The sequence below is a fragment of the Homo sapiens genome, chromosome 6 (genome assembly GCF_000001405.40).
Source record: "Homo sapiens chromosome 6, GRCh38.p14 Primary Assembly".
In the NCBI taxonomy this organism is placed as follows: domain Eukaryota; kingdom Metazoa; phylum Chordata; class Mammalia; order Primates; family Hominidae; genus Homo; species Homo sapiens.
This window is the reverse complement of record NC_000006.12, coordinates 166477100-166500124: the sequence shown is the minus strand read 5'-3', so window position 1 is coordinate 166500124 and position 23025 is coordinate 166477100. Positions and strand designations below refer to the sequence as shown.

Genomic DNA, 23025 nt, shown 5'->3' with positions numbered 1-23025 from the left:
TTCCAGCTAGTAGAAGCTGCCCGCAGTCCTTGGCTGGGCTGCGTCCCCCATGGTGGAAGCCAGCAGGCAGCATCTTCCAAGCTCTCTGACTGCATCTTGCCTCCCTTCCTAACCTGAAGACCCTTGCAATGGTGTTGGGCACACCCAGAAATCCAGGGTCATCCCCTATCTCCAGATCCTCAATGGCATCTGCAAAGTCCCTGTGTTAGTCTGTTCTGAAAGTCCCTGTATTAGTCTGTTCTGAAAGTCCCTGTATTAGTCTGTTCTCAAAGTCCCTGTATTAGTCTGTTCTCAAAGTCCCTGTATTAGTCTGTTCTGAAAGTCCCTGTATTAGTCTGTTCTCAAAGTCCCCATGTTAGCCTATTCTCACACTGCTAATAAAGACATACCCAAGGCTGGGTAATTCATAAAGGAAAGAGGTTTAATGGACTCACCCTGTTCCACCTGGCTGGGGAGGCCTCACAATCATGGCAGAAGGAGAAGGAGGAGAAAAAGCACGTCTTACATGGCAGCAGGCAAAGAGAGAGCATGTGCAGGAGAACTGCCCTGTATAAAACCATCAGATCTCGTGAGTCTTATTCACTGTCACGAGAATAGCACTGGAAAAACCCACCCCCATGATTCAGTTACCTCCCACTCTGTCCCTCCCACGACACGTGGGGATTCTTACAATTCAAGGTGAGATTTGGATGGGGACTCAGCTAAACCATATCAGTCCCTTCTGCCACATAAGGTGGCCCATTCCCAGGCTCAGGGGCAAGGACATGGCCTCTCTGGGCACTGCTGCTCTACCCACTGGCTGGGCCTGCCTTGGCTCTATTTAGCCACGCTCTGTCATCCCCAAGACTTGGGGGCCCTGAGCCAATGCACTCTTGTTCTTTCCAGCCCCGGGGCCACTTCCTTCAGAAGCCCCTCCTTGCTCTGTGGCACCTGGAGATCCCTGTTCTTCCATCATAGCTCGGCCTCTGCTCCCCAGGCCTCCTCCGCCTGTCTGTGCTCTCCACACCCTCGTGTTGTCGGGGCAGGGCAGGTTCGCCACACTCTGCCTTCCCCTTGGCTCCCCGGCAGCCAGAGCCCCTTTCCCAGTAGCTGTCAGCCACACACCTGCCTTCCACCCCAGGTCCCTCTGCCCTGCAACACCCCACCTCCACGTGCCTGTGGAAAAGGGTCTGGGGGAGTTCCCGTCACTGACTGACAACCTGCTGTCTGGGTGGTGTTCCAAGGCGCTCCTGAGTGTGTACACTCATAAGGAACTCCTCACGCTTTGAGGATTTCGGCTTCAGGCACCGGCGGGCTTCGGGCACTGACGGGCTTCGGGAAGCACTCACATGGTCCCGCTTTTGCTGAGCAGGGCTCTGCTGCGCCCACCTGGAGAGGGGGCAGAGCCCACAGAAGGACGCTGATGCCCGCCTGAGTGTGGACCCCCGAACACACCCAGAGACTGAGGCAGTGTGTGTGCTGTGTTTGCATGTAGATTTCGGCCTGAGTAAGGAGGCCATTGACCACGACAAGAGAGCGTACTCCTTCTGCGGGACGATCGAGTACATGGCGCCCGAGGTGGTGAACCGGCGAGGACACACGCAGAGTGCCGACTGGTGGTCCTTCGGCGTGCTCATGGTGAGCCTGCCCCGACCCTCTTCTGTGCCATGGCGGCTGTTCCCCACGTGGACCCCTGTCCCCAGGTTGGTTCAGAGGTCCCGAAATGCGGAAGAAGGCAGTGCCTGAGGGCTTGGGACACTGGGCAAGTGTCCAGGCCAAGCATTTCCTGGCAGCCTCCTCCCCATCCCACATCCCCACCATCAGAAAGTGGGGCTGGGATGCAAACGAGAACGCAGAAACGCAGACGTGGGAGGAGTCGAACCCTCTTTATGCTTTGTGCTCTTCGGGCTTAGCGTGATGATTACAAGAGATGCCATGATTTTCGAGTTAAAGTATTTTTCTTATTTAGACACAGAATCCTTGCGCTTAGTTACAAACTGAGATGTACACGGAGTTAGGCATTTTTGCATCAGCGTCTGGAAATGTGAATTGTCTCTGTCGCGTTTTCGCAGGCAGAGTGCTTAACAGAACCCAGTTTGGACTGGGTCTTCTCCGCCCTAGGAACTGTGTGGGCTCCTTTCCCAATCTTCACAGGACCCTCCCTCCCTCCCCCAATCCCACTCTCCCAGCTGGGCAGGGGGCTGGTGACCTCAGGGTGGAGCAGGCGTGCAGTGAGTGCTCTGGAATCTGACCTGGATGACAATCGGGTCGTGGCATTTCAGGGGTATCCCGCCCTCCGGCCTGTGCATCACACACAGGAGGAAACTGAGGCCATGAGCACTTTAGGAGACGGGATGAAGGTTGCTCCGCTGGCGTGTGGCAGAACTGTGTGCCTGCCAAACCCAGTTCCCTTCAGAGTTTTGACCGCCTCTCCTCCCACCACACCCTACTCCTCGTCCCCTTGCTAGGGAACCCCAGGGCTGAGTCCTGCGGTGTCGCCTGGAGAACCCCCGGCTGGTGCCCAGGGCCTCGCTGGTCCTTTGCCACTTGGGTCACTGCAGCACTCTCCAGGCTCCGGCCTCAGCCCCGGGAGCTCACAGGCCCTGGCTGTGTTCCACGTGCCCGCACGGGCTGCTCACCTCTCCGCGAGGGGCAGACACACATTAGACCAGCTCCGGAGATGGGCCCACAGCCTAACCCAGAAAGCCAGTTCGCAGTCGGAGATGCCCACATCACGTTTGTGGCTACTCCTTCCTGTGGAAGCCCCTTCCGTCCCTGGTCATTCCTGCCTGTAAAGTGAGTCACAACACAGACAGTCGTGCAGTTCAACACGTGAGCACAGGCACGACACTTGAGAGAATGCCTGCAGCAAAGCAAGGGGCCCGCGAGCTCAGCCAAGAGGATGATGCTGCTGATTTATTTTTTACTATTATTCAGACCTTCAGTGGCACTGGCTAAGGAGCAGGTCCTCTCCATGCGGAGACCACAGAGCTAAGTCCCCCACGGTCACCCCTCTGAGACCACCTCTGCTTTCCTTCCACTGAAAGAGGTTTTCTTTAGATAGGTCAGTGAGGCAGGTTTGCTTTGCCGTCTTGGAGGTGATTTCTGCCTCGATAGGTCCACTCCCTTCCACATGTGTGGGTTTCCTGTGTGACCCTGGCTGGTGAGTGGTGGGTGAGGGCAGCGGGGATAGCCCTGTGGAGACCTCCCACGCTGGTGCAGGTTTTGCCGGTGCAGGGAAGTCTGATGTTGCCTTTGCTGACGCTGGGCTATGGGTCCAAGCTTATAGTCTGTGGCTTCAGGAGAGATTCCAGTTCTTAAACCCCCTCCTGAGAACCCCAAATTCCCCCAGAGAGCAGGGCTGGCCACGCTGCACATCCAGGCTCCCTGAAAGGGCTCCTGGCATCCTTCTGTCTCTGGGTCCTGTCCTATAACTCTGGGCTCACAAGTGGCCCATCCAGCAGTACTGCGGGCCAGCCTTTGTGTAATGAACAAGGTCATAAAATGTTGCCACCTGGCTCTCAGGTGAACCAATGTTTAAAAAGAACAAGAGGCCAGGCTGGAGTGGAGAGGAGTAACTTAGCAGAGAAAAGCACAGCCAAAACACCACATATAAGTCAAAACCAACTGGACTTAGTTTTGTGAGGTTTCTGGGGGGACAGGGGGAGGGGAGATTTGATAGTCTTCTGTTTCTTCTATTAAGGCAACAGATCATAAAACCTATCTCATAATATAAAATATATATTTAATTTTTTTTCTTTTTTTTCTTTTTATTTTTTAATTTTTTATTGTTTTTTGAGATGGAGTCTCATTCTGTCACCAGGCTGGAGTGCAGTGTTGCAATCTCAGCTCACTGCAACCTCCGCCTCCTGGGTTCAAGCCATTCTCCTGCCTCAGCCTCCCAAGTAGCTGCGACTACAGGCACCCGCCACACCCAGCTAATTTTTTTTGCATTTTAGTAGAGACAGGGTTTCATCGTGTTGCCCAGGTTGGTCTTGAACCCCCAAGCTCAGGCAGTCTGCCAGCCTCGGCCTCCAGAAGTGCTAGGGTTGCAGGCGTGAGCCACCACGCCCAGTTCTTCTGGTCTTAATCACTGCAAACCGAAAAGACAAATGGAGAAGCTGAAAGAAAAAGAAATAGGAGAACAGAAGAGACAGAAGAGGAATGATCCAAAGATGGAGACACGACGAGGGGCCAGAAGAAGAGGAAATGAGACCACGTCGGGCTCGCCTTGCTCCAGCAAACTCCCCCCGGTCCCCTTCCACCATCAGCCCTAAGACAGAAGCACCACTCCCAGTGGCCTTTGCTGACCCTGGCCGGGTTGGTGGCTCTGGCTGGTGGCTCTGGCTTCGGTGTCTTCTCAGCACTCCTGGCTTGCCACTGCTCTAACGTCTGCCATCTTTTATTGTCGTTGTCTGTCTCTGTGAGTGTCTCCTGGCACGTGGAGTTTCTTAAACACCAGTCACCTTACCCAAGATGCCCCAGCACAGACAAAAGTGCCTGCACCTGGCCAGGCCTCCAAGGGACCCATGAGGGAGTGAAGACAACAGGGTGGAAGCAGAGAGGCACTCACACCCAGACCCAGTGCCCGGCAGCCTTCACCCATCCTGGAGTCCCCACCCTCCCTGTCCCTGGAGTGTGAAGAAGATGATATTGAGAGCTTCTGAAGGAGGCCTGGCCCAGCGCTGCCCGGCACGTCAACACAGCAGGCACTCTCCTCCCACGTGCCTCCCTGGGCACAGGACATTTCTTACTGAATTGTTCACTTGTTTGCTGGGATCGTCCCGCATTCAATGTCTCGTGACAGCTGGGGAAGGGGTCCGGCTCCAGAACTGCTGTGTCACTCTCGAGCCCGAGGCAGGGCTGGCTGTTGCCGTGGTGACCACAAGCTAAGGCTGCCTGGCCATCTTCACATTTGATCTCAACCCAACAATCTCCAAGCCGGGCAGGAAAGACGGTATTCTTTCTGTGCACAGAAATGAAAACTAAAGCTGAAAGAGCCTAAGTGTCGGGCTCAAGATCACATAATAGTCCCAGAAACACATTCTCATTTAGTGCCGCCCGCCCACGTGGTGACTGGCTGCACACAGGCAAAGGTCTTGACTGTGGAGGCCCCACGCTTCCCACACGTCCGTGGGTGGCATCAGAAGTGACTTCTGAATTCTCATTTGCAGCTAAGAGATGGGCCTCGGGTGACCTTTGAAGTCGTATCTTACCCAAGCCTTGTAAGCGGATCGGTGCAGAGCCGTTGTGCGTGTGAGGGGCCTTGTTTTAAAAGAAGGCTGAGACCCTGGAGGCCGCGTGCTGAGGGAGTGGTCCTCATGTGTGGGTGGCCGTCCGTCCCCTGGAGGTGGATGTGTGCTGGGATCTCTTCCCGAGGAGCAGCATCCACAAGTGCCCTCCCCAGACCTGGAAGGAAGGATGCCTGTGCCAGGGGCAGGAAGTCAGTGTCCCTGAATAAAATTCCGTGTCTGAAATTAGGAGCTGGTACCTGGAGAAGAACGTGCAAACCTGGTGGCCGGCTGCGTGGTGACATTTGTAGAATTTCCAGCACTCCTCTACGCCAGGCTGGAGCCAGTTTCTAGAAGGATATTTGGGCTGTTTTGTAAACATCTAAAGCATCTCTTGAGCACTCTGGTTTCGTGAGACCACTTTATCCTTCTCCCGTTTCTTAACCACGGGCACGGAATGTTCTGGACATCCCGCCTCAGGTGCCATGTGATGTGTCCTTATGCCACCATAGCAAACACGGATGGTTCTGAGCTCAGGCTCTGCTGCTTGCCACTGGACCATTCATCTGTAGACGGTTGTGAGGAACGGCACCTTCCAAGGCTGTTTTGAGACTGAGATTCTTGGCACTCGGAGTGGGGTGCAGCACACGGAGCGAGAGCAGCTCGGATTAGAGGGCATGTGTCTGTGCACACAGGGACCTCCACACATGGGCATGGATCAACACAGCTCTCCGAGACCCAGCCCCTCCATACCCTGCAAAGCCAGGCCCTCTACCACTTCAAGTCATCCATCTCAGGTCAGGGCTTGTCCTCGCCTGTTTTCAGATTAAAATGTTAGCTTGCTTTTGGTGCCCTTTTAAGAATGGTGATCGGCCAAGTAAACTTGAAATCGAGGCTCCTGTCACCAAGGGTCTCCCCAGAGTCTCCTCCTTCCCCTGCCCCCAGTACCACTGGCCTCCATGAGGCGCATCCTGCCTGTGCCGGGGCCGCCACTCTTTCCAGGTTCCTTAGCTGTCCCTTTAGACAGGGCTTCTCAGCCAGCACTGTTGAGGTCGGGACTGGACACTTCCTTGTTGTGGGGCGCCCTGTGTGTCATAGGATGTTTAGCAGCATCTGTGCCTCCCTCAGTGGACGCCTGTAGCACCAGGGCTCCCGGGCATGACAGCCGGAAATGTCCCCTGGCAGGCAACGGTGACCCCAGTTGAGAAGCACTGCGTTATGTCTGTCCAATTACCTTCCCAGAAGCATCGGGCCTGCACCCGGTGGAGCTTTGGCTACATCTCCTTGAGCCCCTCTGTGCCTGTCTGCAGCCTGGTCTCGGTGCCGATTGGGAAAGAATCCTTTGGAGTGCCCTCCCTCCCCCGGTGCGTGTACTTGACTGTGGGAACCCCAAGATGAACCTCGGCTTTTCTCAGTTCACCCCGGAAGCCTTGGCAAGTCTCAGTGCTGCTCAGCAACACAGCAAAAGTCTTACTGTAAATAACGTCCCAAGAAACTCATCAGCAAAACCTCAGTCAGTAATGCTTCGGCACTGGAAAGTTCCCGGGCAGCTCCATTCAGACAATCATACTGAAATGATCTCCCTTCTCCACAGAAAAGGGTGGATAAGGGGATGGGAAAGGCAGCAGAACCCCATGGCTGGTGGAGGCTGCAAAGTCCACACCTCCGCCCCAGCATCATCCCCACCGTCAGCAGCACCTTCATCACCAAGAAGCAGTTGTTGAATATTCATGGGTGCTGTGCTGGGTGTTCTCTGGCTGAGTAGATGGTTGGGGACCTCCTACCATATGGATGGAGGAAGAAGGGGAGGAAGAGAGAGAACCACAAAGCAGTGGACCCTGATCACAAGGGAATCATCTTCAAAAGCTAAAAAGAAATCACCAGACCAGGCGCAGTGGCTCACGCCTATAATCCAAGCATTGTGGGAGGCCAAGGCGGGCGGATCACTTGAGGTCAGGAGTTCCAGTTCAGCCTGGCCAACATGGTGAAACCCTGTCTCTACTAAAAAAAAAAAAAAAAAAAAATACAAAAATTAGCCAGGCATGGTGGCTCACGCCTGTAGTCCCAGCTACTCGGGAGGTGGAGACAGGAGAATCGCTTGAACCCAGGAGGCGGAGGTTGCAGTGAGCCGAGATTGTGCCATTGCACTCCAGCCTGGGCAACAGCGAGACTCCATCTCAAAAAAAAAAAAAAAGAAAAGAAAAAGAAATCACCAAACAAATGTATGCAAGATACCAGTCCATCAGCAAAAAATAAATGATATCCGGGCATCTGGACAGGCACCATTTGTGTAACAAGGATTAAACGGTGTGTATGGGATGACAGCTTTCTCATTTCATGTAGCCAGAAGGCTTGTCCTTGGAAATGGGATTTCATAGTGCTATTAATAGACTCAAGAAAGAAAGAAGAAAGAGCAGAATAGGAAAGGAGTTCCCTTTGCTAATACCATTCTATTCTGAGAGATATTTCAGTGTGTATGATCAGCTTATAAACTTTCATCCTGTTTTACCAGACAAACAGCTCATCTGCCAGTCAGAGCATTCTGGCCTTTCCTGTTTAATTACACTTGTCTCTTTTTCAGTTCTCATCTGGACCCCCTTCCGCTTGCTTTTTATTACTTTTGTATTGATTGATTGCCTGCAGCCTGTCTGCTCTGAGTTCCCTCACTTACTCTGTGCACCGGATGGACAGCACATTTTAATGTGACAGAACAGGCTTCAAACGTCAGAACTGGTGGAAGAGTTTCCATTTCTTTTATAATGTTGTTTTCAGAAAGCAGACTGGTAATATTAATAAAACCTTAAATGCATTCATTTCTTTAAGATTATAATTTCACTCCTAGCAGCCTATCATAAGAATAAATCTTAGGAAATCATCTGTGCACATTTCAGTAGTACTTACAATAGCAGAAAATTGGAAATGTCCTAAGTGTACAGCAACAAATACACTCACTATACATTTTGTCATATCCATGTTTGTTAAGTGATATTACAAAGATTTCATCATAACCATTGAAAGTTTTATATTATTCTGTGAAAAGTTAGTATACAAAACCTTATCTGTGTTTTTAAAACAAAATAAAAAACAGCTTGAAAAAAGTACTAGGAGGAACTAACAAATGTTAAGTTTGGATATCTTTGGGTAATGGAATTCTGCGTGATTTTTTTGGTCTTTCTACTTTGTGTATCTCCTGAGATTTTCGAACTGCAAAGGACGAATGCTGGAGGATGAATTCTAAAAGGGCAGAGACACACGCAGCAAAAAATAAAGATGAGAGAGAATTCAATAAGACCATGGAAACACCTGCTTCCCCGTAATTTAAACTGACGTGAAAGACACCGAGTAGGATTGATCCTTGGGCACATTCCACTTAGATTCAGGGTCTTATTTTATGAAAAGATTGGTTCCTGCTGCAGCCCTAGTTTCTTTTGTGAGAAGCGGTCAGCTGTGCACCTTGCTCTGATGAGACCATTCCAGGCCACTGCTTCCAGAGTGTGTGTAATCACCACTGCATGTGCCCGGGGGAGTTGGTGCAAGAAAGAAACCCATGCTCAGACAAGGCTGTGCTCCATCCCCTCCTTATCTCAAGTTCCGTCCTGGCAGGTGTCCAGTAATAACAAAATAAGGATGTAGGGTGCGGCAGCTGTATCTGAGAGGTTGCTGTGCCATATTGTCCTCGTCAGAGGCTAATGGCTGTGGTCAGGTCTATCTCATGCTGGAAGCACTCTAGCCCCCACCATCCAGGCATGCATGGGTGTTCAACATGAGCTAGCTGTTCTCCTCCTCCTCCTCCTAGCTCATCCCTTCCACAACACCTGCCAGGGCAGGACAGGTTCCTAAACCGCGTGTAAGATGTGTTCGTCCAAACTGCCTGACCACAGGACCCTGCTCTGCCTCTTTTCTCTGTCGTACTCGGGGCCTGCTGGCCTGCCACAGAGTGTGATTATCTACCACATCTGTCATTTACCCGTCTCACCCACCAAATGGCAAGCTCTGCGAGGCAGTTTTAGTCACTGTTGTACCCCAAGCACGTAGGCCAGTGGCTACAATTGACTGATGGAGATTTTGCATGAGGAAATGGACACGGTAGCAGGCTGCCCTGCTGGGGTACTCTGCCGTGAAGCCGGGTCCATCTGGATGAATGAACTCACTGTGCTCTGTGTTGCTCTGCAGTTTGAGATGCTCACGGGGTCCCTGCCGTTCCAGGGGAAGGACAGGAAGGAGACCATGGCTCTCATCCTCAAGTGAGTAGTGTGGGAGCCACCCCAGAGACCTGCGAGCACCTTCTGATATCAAGAGCTGCTGCCTCTGAACCTGGAACTGTGAAGTTTTAATTACATTGCTAGGCTTACAGTGCCAAAGTATTGTAAGCTGTTTTCTAAAAGTCACTGGTTTTACACAAAATGGTAGCGCTCGTCCGCCAGTAGCAGTGGTAATAGGGTGCTGGGCATTCTAATGACAGTGGGTCAAGGGAGCAGTTGCTGGTTTGTCTCATCCTGCTGAGTGGTTCTGATGAACTCTTCTACCATAGATAGTTTTCCATCAGTAAGTCACTTAGAATGTGTAGTGGCTGGTTTTCAAGCGTGATGGTTGGTGACCTCCCAGAAGTAAAGGATAGACGGAAAAAGACACAAGGCCTCCAGGGCCTTGTCCGGAGAGATCACAGGAGCAGGGGTCTCCTTTCCCTCCCCACCTGCTGACCCCATTCATATAGCACTCCTGGTTGACCTTGGCAGGACTCGGTATCGTTTTACCATGTGACTGGATACAAACCATTTTCTGCTTAATTCTCATGAAAAATCATTTACTAAGCCAAGGTTTTGCTCTTGGACTGTAGGAAGAAGCCTGATCCCCATACCACCTTGCCATAGCATCCTAAATGTGAGCAGACACCACTGACTATCACTGTCCCAGAGCAGACAGCAGGAGGGCAGGAAACAGAGAGGCTGGGAGCCCCTAATCAGTTCCTTCCTAAGTGAGGCCACTCGGTGGAGGAGTCATAAAGCTGTTTGTCCTCATGAGCTGCTCTTGCCAACTCTGCTTGCAAATGGACACATAACTTTTATAAAATTGAGAATCACCTAAAACACCACCAGCTCAGCTTTTGTAAGCTCGGTCCTTATGTAGATGGAAGGAGAGAGGGGAGTGAAGGAAGCCCCATTGTGAGGACCCTTTTGTCAAGCTAAGGAGTGTCTTTTTATTTAATCAGCCTTTTCCTCCATCAAGGGACCTTGAATTGCAGCAGACACTGAGAGCTGCAAGTCAGGACCTTTGCAGTGATTCTCATTGTTTGAATTTTAAGGGAGGACATGTTCTTTACTTTTGCTAAAGCTGGAATAATCCCTGACAGCAAGTCACGGGTGTGGCCTCAGGGCATTCCACTTGGGAGGGATGGAGAATTTCTGGAGGGAGCACTAGGCTCTGCGCGTGGGGTTCTCAGTGTGCTCTGAGGACTCCGGTGGTCCTGAGACCCTCCCGGGGTTTGCAGGTCCTCCTCTCGCAGGTTTTCTTCATAGCATCGCAACAGACCGAGCACAGGGTCCAGCTGTCTCCTATGAGCCAGGAAGAGACGCACCCAAGTGCAGAACAATGCCACTAAAGACTTTTTTATATGTATGTTTGAGAAAACATAGATAATTTCCATTAACAATGTTATTTGTGTTAATGGGAGTGTTATTGTTTTTTAATGATTTTATTATTAAATAATGTTTATTAATAAAAATTTATTAAAGTGAATTAGGAAATGGAAATTATACAAATTTCTCACTTTACTTTCTACTGTGGTAAATATCACAGCTGTAACCCACATAAACATAAGCTCTTTGGTGTCCTCAGTAACTTTTAAAGCATAAAAGGGTCCTAAGACCCACGTGGTAGAGCACGGGCTGCTCTGGGTGACTGCGATTGAGGTCTCTGAATGCTGACTGGGGCCCTCTTTATAGCTTGTCCTTGTTCTCCTAAAATAGATCCTAAAATAGGATCTTGTTTTTCAGAGCCAAGCTGGGGATGCCGCAGTTCCTCAGTGGGGAGGCACAGAGTTTGCTGCGAGCTCTCTTCAAACGGAACCCCTGCAACCGGCTGGGTAAGATTCCCCGGGACACCCCACCACGGGAACGTGCAGGGCGCTGCCCCGCAAGCTACAGTGGAGATGTGGAGGGCCACCCTCCTGCTCCGGCCCAATGCCAACCAAGGTCACTGAAAACAGACCTCACCTAGAGGTTGAAATAGTACCAGTGCCATCTGAGCTCCAGGAAAAAAGGCCCCTTCACAGCTTCTAAAACACATAGTTGCTGCCAAAATACCATAAGCTGTTTTCTAAAAGCCACTGGTTTTACCCAAAATGGTAGTATCCTTCAACCAATCTGACTTCCCTGAGTTTTGAAAGTCTCTAAGCTAAGGACAGAACCGTTGAAAAGCTGCTTCTAATTTAATTCTCCCTAAATTGAGAAACCTCCACATCTATTAAAATCAGGATCTACTTTAACTACTGATTGATTTTCTTTTCGTGTATGTGACAGCGTATTGAGGATTACTCCGTGGGCTGGGCCGGTCTTAGCGAGTTGGCGCGGCCGTGTTGTCTCAGAGTCAGACAGCAGCAGGAGCAGGGTGTTTCCGGTTCAGACAGCAGCAGGAGCAGGGTGTTTCCGGTTTAGACAGCAACTGGAGCAGGGTGTTTTCGGTTCAGACAGCAGCAAGAGCAGGGTGTTTCCGGTTTAGACAGCAACTAGAGCAGGGTGTTTACGGTTTAGACAGCAACTGGAGCAGGGTGTTTCAGGTTATTTTAACAAGAAAACGAAAGGAACACATTAAATTCTGTTTTTTTTTAAACTCTAACCTCATAGATAGAAGACATACCAGAGGGGAAGGCAAAAGTTAAATCAGGAAATACTTCATTTCGGAAAAAATACTAGATTTTCCTCTCTGCATGCCTTAACCCCAAAGAAAGAAGGACCCATTTAACTTCTTCCCCACATCAGCTTCCATTGCAGGGAACTTTTGCATTCATTTGCAATCCTTCAGTGATTGAAAGTGAAGCTAATCAAAAGTACCTTCCTACTCCACAGTCATATTTCACAATGTGAGATAATTGAAGTATAACTGTGATCTTAGAAAAAAGGAGTTAAGGTGATTTTTAAAAATCAACATTGATGTATTTAAAGTACTGAGTACTAATCCCCATGAGATTCATCTTGTAATGAATTGTCATAGTTGTATTCACCTAATTAAACACATTTACATCCAACTTCTAATCCAGATTTTTATCACGTAAACCACTCTTCCTTCCTGCAGATTCATCTTCATAGTAATTCTTTACTTCATATAAAGATGTCCCATAGTTGTATTTCCGAGGCAGTTCTCCTCTGTGTAAGCAGATATTTTATTCCACTCTACAGACCTCTCGGTGATAACCCACTGTCAGCGCCTTTGTCCACTCAGCCTGTTTTCATTCTTCCACACAACACAGTAAAGCAATTCCTCCTTGTCACCGAGCACCTCTGCATGCCGAGCGTGGCTACCAGGAGAGCAGGTGACACAGTGAGCTCCCGTGGCACTGGTGACGTCAGAGCAGGTGACACGGTGAGCTCCCCGTGGCATGGGTGATGTCACAGGGTGTTCTGCCGTCACTGTCTGCCAGTCACTGCAGGCCAATCCAGAAAGCCCAGGGCACGTGGGTGTGTGTCAGGAGAGTAAATCCCTGCAACATTTCAGCACCTTGGTAAAACCATCAGAATGTTAAATGTATGCACCCTTTTGCCCAGAAGTGTTACTTCCAGAAATCTCTCCAACAGAAATAGCCATACCTGCGTAAAAGGGGTACAAATAAACGGTGTTTGCCGAAGGTCTTCCTGTTTAACAAAGACCTGAAGATGAAGTAAGCATCAATCAATAAGGAAATCATTGAATCAATTATGAAACGTCCACACCACAGCCTGGGGCTGGAGGACGGTGTCTCGGCCACGGCTCTGCACCGTCTGCATTTTGGGCCGGTTAATTCTTGTTTTGGGAGCTGCGCCATGCATTGAGGCTGTTTAGCGCATCCCCACCCCCACCCCGTGATGATCAAACGTCTCCTGACATTGGCAAAGTCCCCCTGTTGAGAATCTCCACGTTGCTGTTACTGACATGGAAGGGCCAGGGTCTAGACTGAATTGCAGCCCACATGGCTGGAGAGTGTAGACTCACCCCGCAGCGGAGCCCGTGCCACCCACACCACAGTGCATCCATGCCAGGGCACATGGAGACACCGATGGACCCAGCCCCCAATGCCACCTGGCAGGGCCCCATGCTGGTGTCTGTGGAAAGGACTGTGTCCAGTGCATTGGATGAAAACTAACTAGCAGGTCACTGCACACATTTTATAGCGCTGTCCCCAGTCAAGGGTCTGAGAGGCTGGGGAACTGTCACCCAGACAGAGGCAGCTTCCTTAGAGGGGTATTCACCAACAGTGCTGTGGACAAAGCTGAAGGCCCCAGCAGAGCAGCCCCAAGTCACTGAGATGCCAGCTGGGGGCGACAATGAGATGGGAGGCCCAGGATGGAGAGCACTCAGGACCAGAGGGGAGGACGCCTGATCAGGACAGAGGGCCCATGCTGCAGCACACACAGGGGCACTGTGTGTGTGTGTTCATGCGTGTGCGTGCACATGTGTGTGTGTGTGCTCACAGCTGTGTGTGGGGTTCATGGCTTAGAGGAACCTACTGACCAAACAATTTTTGCCACGTTGTTGTTACTGGGACCCCCTCAGCAAAGTCCCAGATGGGACCTGAGATTCCAACCAAGAGTCATCAGGACTCCTCCTTTTCATCAGTGGTGACGGTCGTCGTTAGCCAGGGTCACAGCCACATTTCCAAGAGATGTGCAGCTCCTAAAGCTGTCTGCACCTTGGCCCTTCACTCGCTGGTCCTGGTGCACACCCACGGTTACACAGTGACTCGGCTCAGGAAACGCAGCAAGGGCTCAGCGCTCACCCTTAGTGCCCAGAGTCCCTATCCACACAGGGCCTGTCATGGGCAAGACCTCACCCCCTGAGGGTGGGGTCCCAGTGGTGGGAGATGCAGCCTTGGACAGAGGGACAGCCTGGGCTGGGCAAGGCAGGAAGGGCTTGTGTCCCACCCTGTGTCCCGAAGTTGCCGTTTCACTGCAGTTTTCCCAAATCTGGGTGTGGTCTGGCCTTTTGTTTACAGACCCCCCCGTTCATCACCGTGCGTCTGGGGAGGTGGGGGAGGCGGTGTTTCTTAACTCTGAGGGCGTGTTTGGAGACAGATGCAAGTTGAGAAGCGTGTCTCAGCTAAGCCAATGCATCGCGGTGCCCTGGTTTGTCCAAATGCTATGTCAAAGGTCATGTTTCTGATCTGAGTCTTCCAGATTGTGAATTAAATTGAGTCCCTTCCATTGCAGTGTCCGTCAGCCCTAAGAGCAATGTGGATGTAATCCTTCTGGGAGGAAGTAACCCTCCCAGCTGGAGGGGATCAGGGGCTCGCTGGCAGGGGCTTGCTCCCCAGCTCAGCAGATCTCAACCCACTTCAGGACACGCCTGCCTTAGAATCGAGTTTGCAATGCTGTAAACTGCCACAAAATGCACAGAAGCATCTTTGCATGCCATTTCCACTCATCTCTCAACTCTGAAGTTTGCCCATGTCTGGAGCCCCTGGTCTCATTTCATCAGCCTTTTCAGTGTCTGGTCCAGAGCTGTTCTTTTCCGTGACCCTAGGTTGCACCTTTATTGTGTCTGTGGCTCTCCTCCCCTCATTCTCTATGCTGCTGGGTGTAAGCACAGCCTCCCCCACACAGCCCTGGAAGGCAGGCCCCATGGGTGGTGGCAGAGGGTGGGTGGACAGCTCCGACGTTCCCCTGCCTGGGCGGATTTCTAATGAACCAGGAGAACAGGTCGTTCTTCGAGCCTCAGGTTTCCCCCGGCACGGTGCTGTTGATGAGGATGAGAAGATGCCTTGGCACTGCACTAAGGTAGTCATTATCTGACTTGAATTCTCGTGACAGTACTTCAAAGCAGGTCAAACAAGAAACTTACGAAATTCACTTATGAAAACAGATGTATCCATAGGAATTGCTTTTAGCTGCAAGGAATAGAACCTTTAAATAATTTTAATTTTTTTGTTCAATTAATTTAGTTTTCCAAATCACGGTTTCATTCTCTTATTAACACACCACGTGGTGGTGGATGAGTTGTAGACACTGGCAGCTGAACTACTGCTGTCAGGAGCCCAGATCTTCCTGTGGCTTCTGTTTCCCATCCTCAGTGCACTGCCTTTTCATCCTTATCCTCGGTGCCTTGTGATGGCAATGCGGCTACAACACCTCCTGGAATCACATCCTCACTGCAGGAGAAAAAGGAACTGGATGAGGCCAGCTGCCTCTGTCCCCTTTTTCACAAAAACAAAGCTTTTCTGGAAGCCCCTGGGAGTTCTCTGTACTTCTTGTTGACTGGAACCCTGTCTCATGGCACTCGTGACATATGGCACCGTAAGGAAGGCAGGAGAACAAGCATCTGTGGTTGGAGGAAGGAAATGAGGGCTGGAGTGGCGGCTTTACTGGCCAGGCAGCTGGGCCGGCCACAGGTATTCACTAAGTGATGAGATCCACGAAGGCAGAGGTTGTGTCTGGCTCATCTTTGTGTCCAGCTCTCGGACCACGCAGAGCCCCTGGTGAATATGCATGAACTAAAGTGAATTGAAGGAATTGTAGTTGTTCTTTAAGGTGCTCTGAAAAGCTCCTTGCCCTGAAGTGTGTGGAGTTGAGTCGAGCCTGACCCTTGGTGCTCCTGCTTCATCTCTATCCATTTTCCCTGTCAAGTGGTAAAGCAGAAAAGACAGCACAGGTTTGCGGGCATGTCACGCCTTGGCCCCCGCAGTGCCTGCTCAGATGCACGGGCTCTGCCTGTGGACATGGACGTCATGCTGTTTCTGTGCGCTTACCCAGAATTCTTGTTCACAAAGTGTTTTTCTGCTAGTGACTTGCACAGTCCTGCATTCTCTTAGCACTTCACACCTGCCAAGCATGCGCACCTGTCATCTCCTCCGATCTTCATGACAAGACTGTAAAATTGTGTTCATCATTTTCTGTTTGAGTGAGGCTCTGTTCCAAGGTACAAGGGCTTGTCCCGGGACCCTATGTGTGCAGGAGTCGGCTCTAGTTGGCACCCGACCAGCCAGAGAGCAGTGCAGCTGTCGCAGAGGCCTGGGTCCTCCCTTCCCGAATGTGGAAGCACAAACCCATTCCTTCTCTGTGGGTTTCTGAGAAGACCATGTATGAGCTTCTCTTATTTAGTGAGGATGCGATTTACCCTTAATCTTAAAAAGAGGAAAAAAAGGCCCTGCTCTTCTCATTCTTCGTTAGCACGACATTTTTGGTCTTCAAAATGCAAAATGGGCTTTTCTTAATTTTTTCCAACTCCGTAAGAAATCAGGCCTGATTTTTCCTTTCCCCTGAGCGTTTGCGGGCCGTCCTCCTGCTAGAAGCGGTGGATTCTCTGGTGTTGGTGTGGCAGCAGGATGTGTGAGAGCAGGATCCAGGAGGCCACGGCCCCAGCTCTGTGAGCTTCTGGTCTGCGGCCCACAGTGGCATGGGGGTTGTCCGGATTCTGAGTTCTAGACCCTACTGGGCTGTGGCCAGCTGCACAGCCATGGGCCCTGTCCCTCCTTTTCTCTGGGAAATGAAGGTGGGGTTGATGGTCCCTGCAGTTCCTTCCAGCTCCGACAGCATGCAGCTGCGCGTGTCCTCTCCCCACACACATAGACGTCCCAGGTGGTCTCTTACCTGGTGTGGCACAAACATGTCCTATAAAAGCGGCCCCATCGGCCCAAAGGCTCCCCGCAGTCTTCAGGCTGTGAGTCTTGGGGCATCTTGTTGCATCTGGTTTTCCAGAATCTCTGCTTTTGAGGCAATTGGAAAAGTGTTGGGACTCCCTGTTGAAGGTCAAGGCTGCACGGCCACCTTTGTTTAGAACAGTCCCTTTTGGGAGGCAACTAATTTAAAATGATCCCCCACATTTGCTTTATGGTGAGGGCGTCCTGTAGCATGGCTGCGAAGCACTCTGGGTTTTAGGGAAGATGCAATAGGATGTGATGTCTCTCTCCCTCTCTCCTCCTTCCTCTCCCTCATCTTCCCTTGTCTCCAGTCCCACCCAAACACACAGATTTCACTTGTTGAAACTGGAGAAGTTCATGAAACCTTTCCACTTCACTAATTTGGGTGGGTTTTCTCTCCTCCAACGGCTAACCCTGTGAAGCCAGCCTGAGAGGGTCACACTCGTTTCCTCATCATCGCCCGAAGCCTTCTGTGATCGCAGCCAGAATAAGCAAGGCCTCTAGGCGTTAACTGAGTGGCTCCCTGTCATTGCTCCTGGCTCTGGTTTCTGAGACAAAAACAAACTATTTAGAAAACTATTTCTTTCCTCGGAGCACAGATACCTGTCCCAGACACAGTGTTACTCAGAGAATTTCCTGGGACATTCCTCCCCCAGCAAGGGCAGTTGCATTTGAAAGGAAAGGGTGGCATCTCTGCAGTCACCGAGGGCCCAGATTTGGAGCACATTTGGCTCTTGGGCCCCGATAGCTGAGGCAGAATTTCCTGCCAGAAACTGGTGACAACCCAAGTAAAATGAGAAAGAACCAAGACTTCCAGTGTACTTGTGTGTGCCTGCACCAAAACAAAGAGATGCACGTGCATTCTCCCGTCTCATCAGAGAACTTAACAGAGCCCTCCACGCTGCAGCACATACTTTAAGATCGATCAGAGAGGTATATGTGCAGTCTACCATCTCATCAGAGAACTCAGCAGAGGCCTCCACTCTGCAGCACATACTTTAAGATTGATCAGAGAGGTATATGTACAGTCTACCATCTTATCAGAGAGCTCAGCAGAGCTCTCCAAGCTGCAGCACATACTTTAAGATCGATCAGAGAGGTATACGTGCAGTCTGCCATCTTACCAGAGAACTCAGCAGAGGCCTCCACTCTGCAGCACATACTTTAAGATTGATCAGAGAGGTATACATACAGTCTACCATCTTATCAGAGAGCTCAGCAGAGCTCTCCACACTGCAGCACATACTTTAAGATCGATCAGAGAGGTATACCTGCAGTCTGCCATCTTATCAGAGAACTCAGCAGAGGCCTCCACTCTGTAGCACATACTTTAAGATTGATCAGAGAGGTATACGTACAGTCTACCATCTTATCAGAGAACTCAGCAGAGCTCTCCGCGCTGCAGCACATACTTTAAGATCTATCAGAGAGGTATATGTACAGTCTACCATCTCATCAGAGAACTCAGCAAAGGCCTCCACTCTGCAGCACATACTTTAAGATCGATCAGAGAGATATACATACAGTCTACTATCTCATCAGAGAATTCAGCAGAGCTCTCCACACTGCAGCACATACTTTAAGATTGATCAGAGAGGTATACGTACACTCTACTATCTCATCAGAGGCCTCCACTCTGCAGCAAATACTTTAAGATCTATTAATTCAATTTCAAAGGGGACCTTGGCTTGATTCCAGAGCAATGTCAGACATCAGTATCCTTTTTAAAGCCACAAATTAGAGCTGAGCCTTCATGGCTTATTTATTTCTAATCTTTGCAACAACAAAGACCACTTTGAGCTTTGCTCAGTCTTAATTAAAAATTGAAAAGGCTTTTCAGGAAAATTCCCTATAGCTATGCTTGTATTTCTGATAAGAGTACTTGACTTGGCCTTTTAAACTTGAAAAATGAACTATCTTTTAATTCACAACTCAATTCTTTTATACTTTAATATGGAATGAATGTATAATTATTCTCTTTTCCTGCAGAGAATTTCCCAGAATTTCACTGTAGCTTAATTTCAGAATTTTGTAAAAATCCCAACTTATTTGTTTTCATTGAATTTTATATAGAATTTTTATTCTATAGAAAAATTGGGCGAAAAGCATCAAGGTTTAGAAAAACACTAGAAGAAAGATATGTATATAAAATTGGCCAGGCATTGTGGCTCATACCTGTAATCCCAGCCGAGGCGTGTGGATCAGCTAAGGTCAGGAGTTCAAGACCAGCCTGGCCAACATGGCGAAACCCCATCTCTACCAAAAATACAAAAATTGGCCAGGAGTGGTGGTGTACGCCTGTAATCCCAGCACTTTGGGAGGCCCAGGCAGGCGGATCACCTGAGGTCAGGAGTTTAAGACCAGCCTGGCCAAAATGGCAAAACCTCATCTCTACTAAAAATATAAAAATCAACTGGGTGTGATGATGGGTGCCTGTAATCCCAGCTGCTCAGGAGGCTGAGGCAGGAGAGTTGCTTGAACCCAGGAGGTGGAGATTGTGGTAAGCTGAGATCGCACAACTGCACTCCAGCCTGGGCAACAGAGCAAAACTCTCTCTCAAAAAAAAAAAATATATTATATATATATATATATATATATATATATATATATAAAATCACAATCTTAAGGAATATAAGATTCTTGCTTGTCAGGTCCAAAACATCTAGCGAGGGTTGAAGATTTTTCCTAAAGCCCTCCCTGTCTTACGAAGGGGCTATTGAAAGTTCGGCACTTGTTGCTTTCCGTGAATGTTTTTGTGCTTTCGAATCAGCCAGTACCTGTACATTTCTTCGTGATATTTCATGTCCTTACTGTCTTCATGGAGGTCTAGCCCATTTTTACCTCTCAAGTTAGCACAGAGGCACACATTTGGCAATCCTCACTGTTGGCGATGGGAGAGCAGTTTCCCAACTTCCGGGTGAAGGGGTGTGTTTTTCCCACTTTTCATAAGTCAACCTGAAAAATCTCTGCAAAAGTAAAGCACATGCACCTCACCCAAGTAATTCCACCTCAAATAATATATCCTTCAAATATATTCACACAAGTGCACAGAGAGATATGGAAGCTGAAACCCACATCACCCAGGGACGGTTAACTGAATTACCGTCGTCTACACAGGGGATACTATGTGAGTACTGAAGAGTGAGGCCATTCTGCATGCACTAACATGGAAGGATGTGTAAGTTAAAAAAAGAAGTGTTAAGTAAAAATAGCTCATTGCAGCACAGAACGTTCAGAATTATCCTGTTTGTGTTTTTGGAAGCAAGGGAGGTAAGCAAAGAAAAATTCTGCAAACACAGGCAAGCAGCTCCTACAGCGGGTGCTTCTCCCCGGAGGGACGGGCAGAAGGGGAGCTTTTCCTTTCACCTCATTCATGCCAATATGGACTTTTTCTGCCAATATGTATTATTTTTATGATTGAAAACCCAGTTTTTAAAAAGTTGTTTTAGGGAGAAACATTTGATGCCAGAGACTTCTCTGTGACGTGCTAGCACACGCCCCACCTTGGGCCACCCCCTGGCGGTTAGCAGGACCATGCTGCCACCTCACCATGGCTGCCACCTCACCTCACCTGGCAGTTAGCAGGACCATGCTGCCACTCACCATGCTCTTCGGGCAGCTGGCGAGTCACGCTGCCATCTCACTGTGGCCGGGGCCGCCCCCCTGGCAGATTGCAGGACCACACTGCCACCTCGCCGTGGCTGGGGCCACCGCCTGTCCCCAGCATCGCCTGCTGCCCCTTTCTCATGGCTCTTGGGCAGACACTGGGTGCTTTCGTCCAGAGCAAGTGTGAGTGGATAATGGGCAGTCTGGCCCGTGCCTTCCCTCACTCGTGGGCTAGGCTCTGGGGACCCGTGAAGCCAAAGTGTGGCCCTCATGCTCGTGGGCTCTCTGACAGCAAACAGCAAGGCCAGCTGCAGCCCAGACGCGCACAAATGCCTGCAGCCAGGGCAGAGAAGCAGATGAGGCACAAAATGGATCTCAGAAGAGGGGAGAGGGCCTGATGGAAGGGGAAGAAAGAGCAGCAGCGAAAGAGGAGAGGGGAGCGTGTGGGAGAGGCTGGAGTCCAGGGCAGGGCACAGAAGCAAAGTGAAGCGAGAGCCAGGTGCTCAGACCCACGCCACGCACCCCTTCCTGGCCGTGTGGGCCTGAGCGGATGGCTTCACCTCTCTGTGCTTGCTTATTTATTCTACGAACTGAGGGTAATACCAGCACCGACATCGTGAAGTAGGAGGATTTGAGGAGGCAGAGCAGTGCCTGATGGGTGGGAAGCACTGTAATGGGTCTGACGAGTAAACACATAAACAAGCAGAGAGCACCGGTGTGCAGAGGCCTGTGGCCGGGAAGGGTGTCCAACCCCCCGGCCTCATTGCTTCCTGCTCATCTGACACTTTTCTTTCTCTGCCACTTGGCTGTGGGACAGAACAGAGGAACGTTATCTGGTGCACAATAGCCGAGGAGCCACAATTCTGAGCGTTTTCTGGAGAAAACCATCGTTTTGTGAGATGCATTTTAATAGATGTTGTTAAACCCTCCACTGAGCTGGTTGCAGAATGGAAGGGTAAATGGAAAGCCTGCAGTACCAGCCAGAAGAACATTGAGGCCAATGCCAGAGTCCCGAAGCTCACCCGGGAAATCCACCCTGGCAAGAGCACAGAGTCATGCCCGCCTTGCCCGGGGTCTGATCCCTCAGAGGGTAACATCTTCACACAGTTGCTGCCAGGAACCTTGCCGGTGGCTGAAACTCCTCTTTCAAGACCAAGCTTTTATGATGGAAATCTGTGTAGTCTCTGCCTTGTCATTCCCAAGCACCCAAATGACATCTGGACACTTATTATAACATAAGCACGTGAGCATATGTGCAAGGGACGTGCCGCCTCAGGTGGCAGGCACCGCGACCCCACCTCTGCCACTCCCTCTGAGGTGACGCATGGTAACCGCCCCCGCCCAGCCGAGCTGCCGCAGTCACCACCTGTGGGGCCACATGCGTGAGGGTTTGCTGTGCACCCCTCCCCTGCTTGGCCTCCCCCTGGAAATGCGAATTGGAGTCAGAAAGGAGAAGTGGAGATGCTGGACGTATTTATTCATCCAAACGTACATGAGAGCCAACAATTCAGATCTATTCTTGCAGCAATCGAAGCGCTTTGTCTTGGAGTCACTGTTTCCTCTCCTTTCCTTTTTTAAACAGGGTCTTGCTCTGTTGCCCAGGCTGATCACAGTGGTGCAATCATGACTCACTTCAGTCTCAGTTGCCTGGACTCAGGCAGTCCTCCCACGTCAGCCTCCTGAGTAGCTGGGACTACAGGCATGCACAACCACACCTGACTAGTTTATTACTGTTTTGTAGAGAAGGGGCCCCGCTATGTTGCCCAGGCTGGTCTCGAACTCCTGGACTAAAGCAGTCCTCCTGCATTGGCCTCCCAACATGAGATTACAGGCGTGAGCCACTGTGCCTGGCCAGAGTCACTATTTTCTTTCAAACATTATTATATTGCTGGGAGAGGATTTGCTACAGTAAATTGGGTGAATGTGACAAAGTATTGGGGTGTTTGTACTTTTTCTCCCCTTGTTCTGGGAGAAGCAAATAATTTTCTAAATAACCTATTTTTTAAATTAAAACCCTTCAAATTTAACATTACTAAAATCATAGTTCTTTAAAATATTGTTTTAGTATTTGGTTTAAATTATGGATGAGAGAAAGATGGAGCTACCTCCTCCCTAGGTGTAGAGATGAGTATTGGTTAAAAGATACCAGCCCCCTGGAAGCTCACACAAGCATGGAGAATGGCTCACCTCGGGCCAAGATCGCCCTTCAAACCGTGTCTAAGTGAGTTATCATCAAGCTTTCGAGGAGCTGTGGACCCTCCCACAGGTGTATTTTACAACCTAAGATGCCCAGGCTCAACATGAAGAAGCTACAGTCAGAATTAATTGCCCAGCCTTTATCCAGGGAGGGCGCTGGATTTAGTTGCCTGCGGAGCTGGAGCCAGG

At 50.1% G+C, this 23025-nt stretch overlaps 1 protein-coding gene across 9 annotated transcripts in view, besides 3 other annotated features; it reads left to right on the top strand.

Annotated features, from left to right (window-relative positions):
* The window catches only part of RPS6KA2 (ribosomal protein S6 kinase A2), a 453410-nt gene that overhangs the window by 362649 nt on the left and 67736 nt on the right, over positions 1-23025 (top strand). For all 9 annotated transcript variants that reach the window (XM_047419235.1, NM_001318937.2, NM_001006932.3 and 6 more), the window contains 3 exons: positions 1475-1617; positions 9384-9454; positions 11204-11292. In XM_047419235.1, the coding sequence (XP_047275191.1) occupies positions 1475-1617; positions 9384-9454; positions 11204-11292 (303 nt within the window). The remainder of the gene's footprint in view (positions 1-1474; positions 1618-9383; positions 9455-11203; positions 11293-23025) is intronic.
* Positions 4664-5351: an enhancer, noted in NCBI's record as "H3K4me1 hESC enhancer chr6:166908262-166908949 (GRCh37/hg19 assembly coordinates)". NCBI's record gives its function as "activates a minimal SCP1, AML or CMV promoter by ChIP-STARR-seq in naive H9 embryonic stem cells {active_cell/tissue: H9 hESC(naive)}" and the evidence as "EXISTENCE:reporter gene assay evidence [ECO:0000049][PMID:30033119]".
* Positions 9963-10463: an enhancer, noted in NCBI's record as "H3K4me1 hESC enhancer chr6:166903150-166903650 (GRCh37/hg19 assembly coordinates)". NCBI's record gives its function as "activates a minimal SCP1, AML or CMV promoter by ChIP-STARR-seq in primed H9 embryonic stem cells {active_cell/tissue: H9 hESC(primed)}" and the evidence as "EXISTENCE:reporter gene assay evidence [ECO:0000049][PMID:30033119]".
* Positions 13762-14262: an enhancer, noted in NCBI's record as "H3K4me1 hESC enhancer chr6:166899351-166899851 (GRCh37/hg19 assembly coordinates)". NCBI's record gives its function as "activates a minimal SCP1, AML or CMV promoter by ChIP-STARR-seq in naive H9 embryonic stem cells {active_cell/tissue: H9 hESC(naive)}" and the evidence as "EXISTENCE:reporter gene assay evidence [ECO:0000049][PMID:30033119]".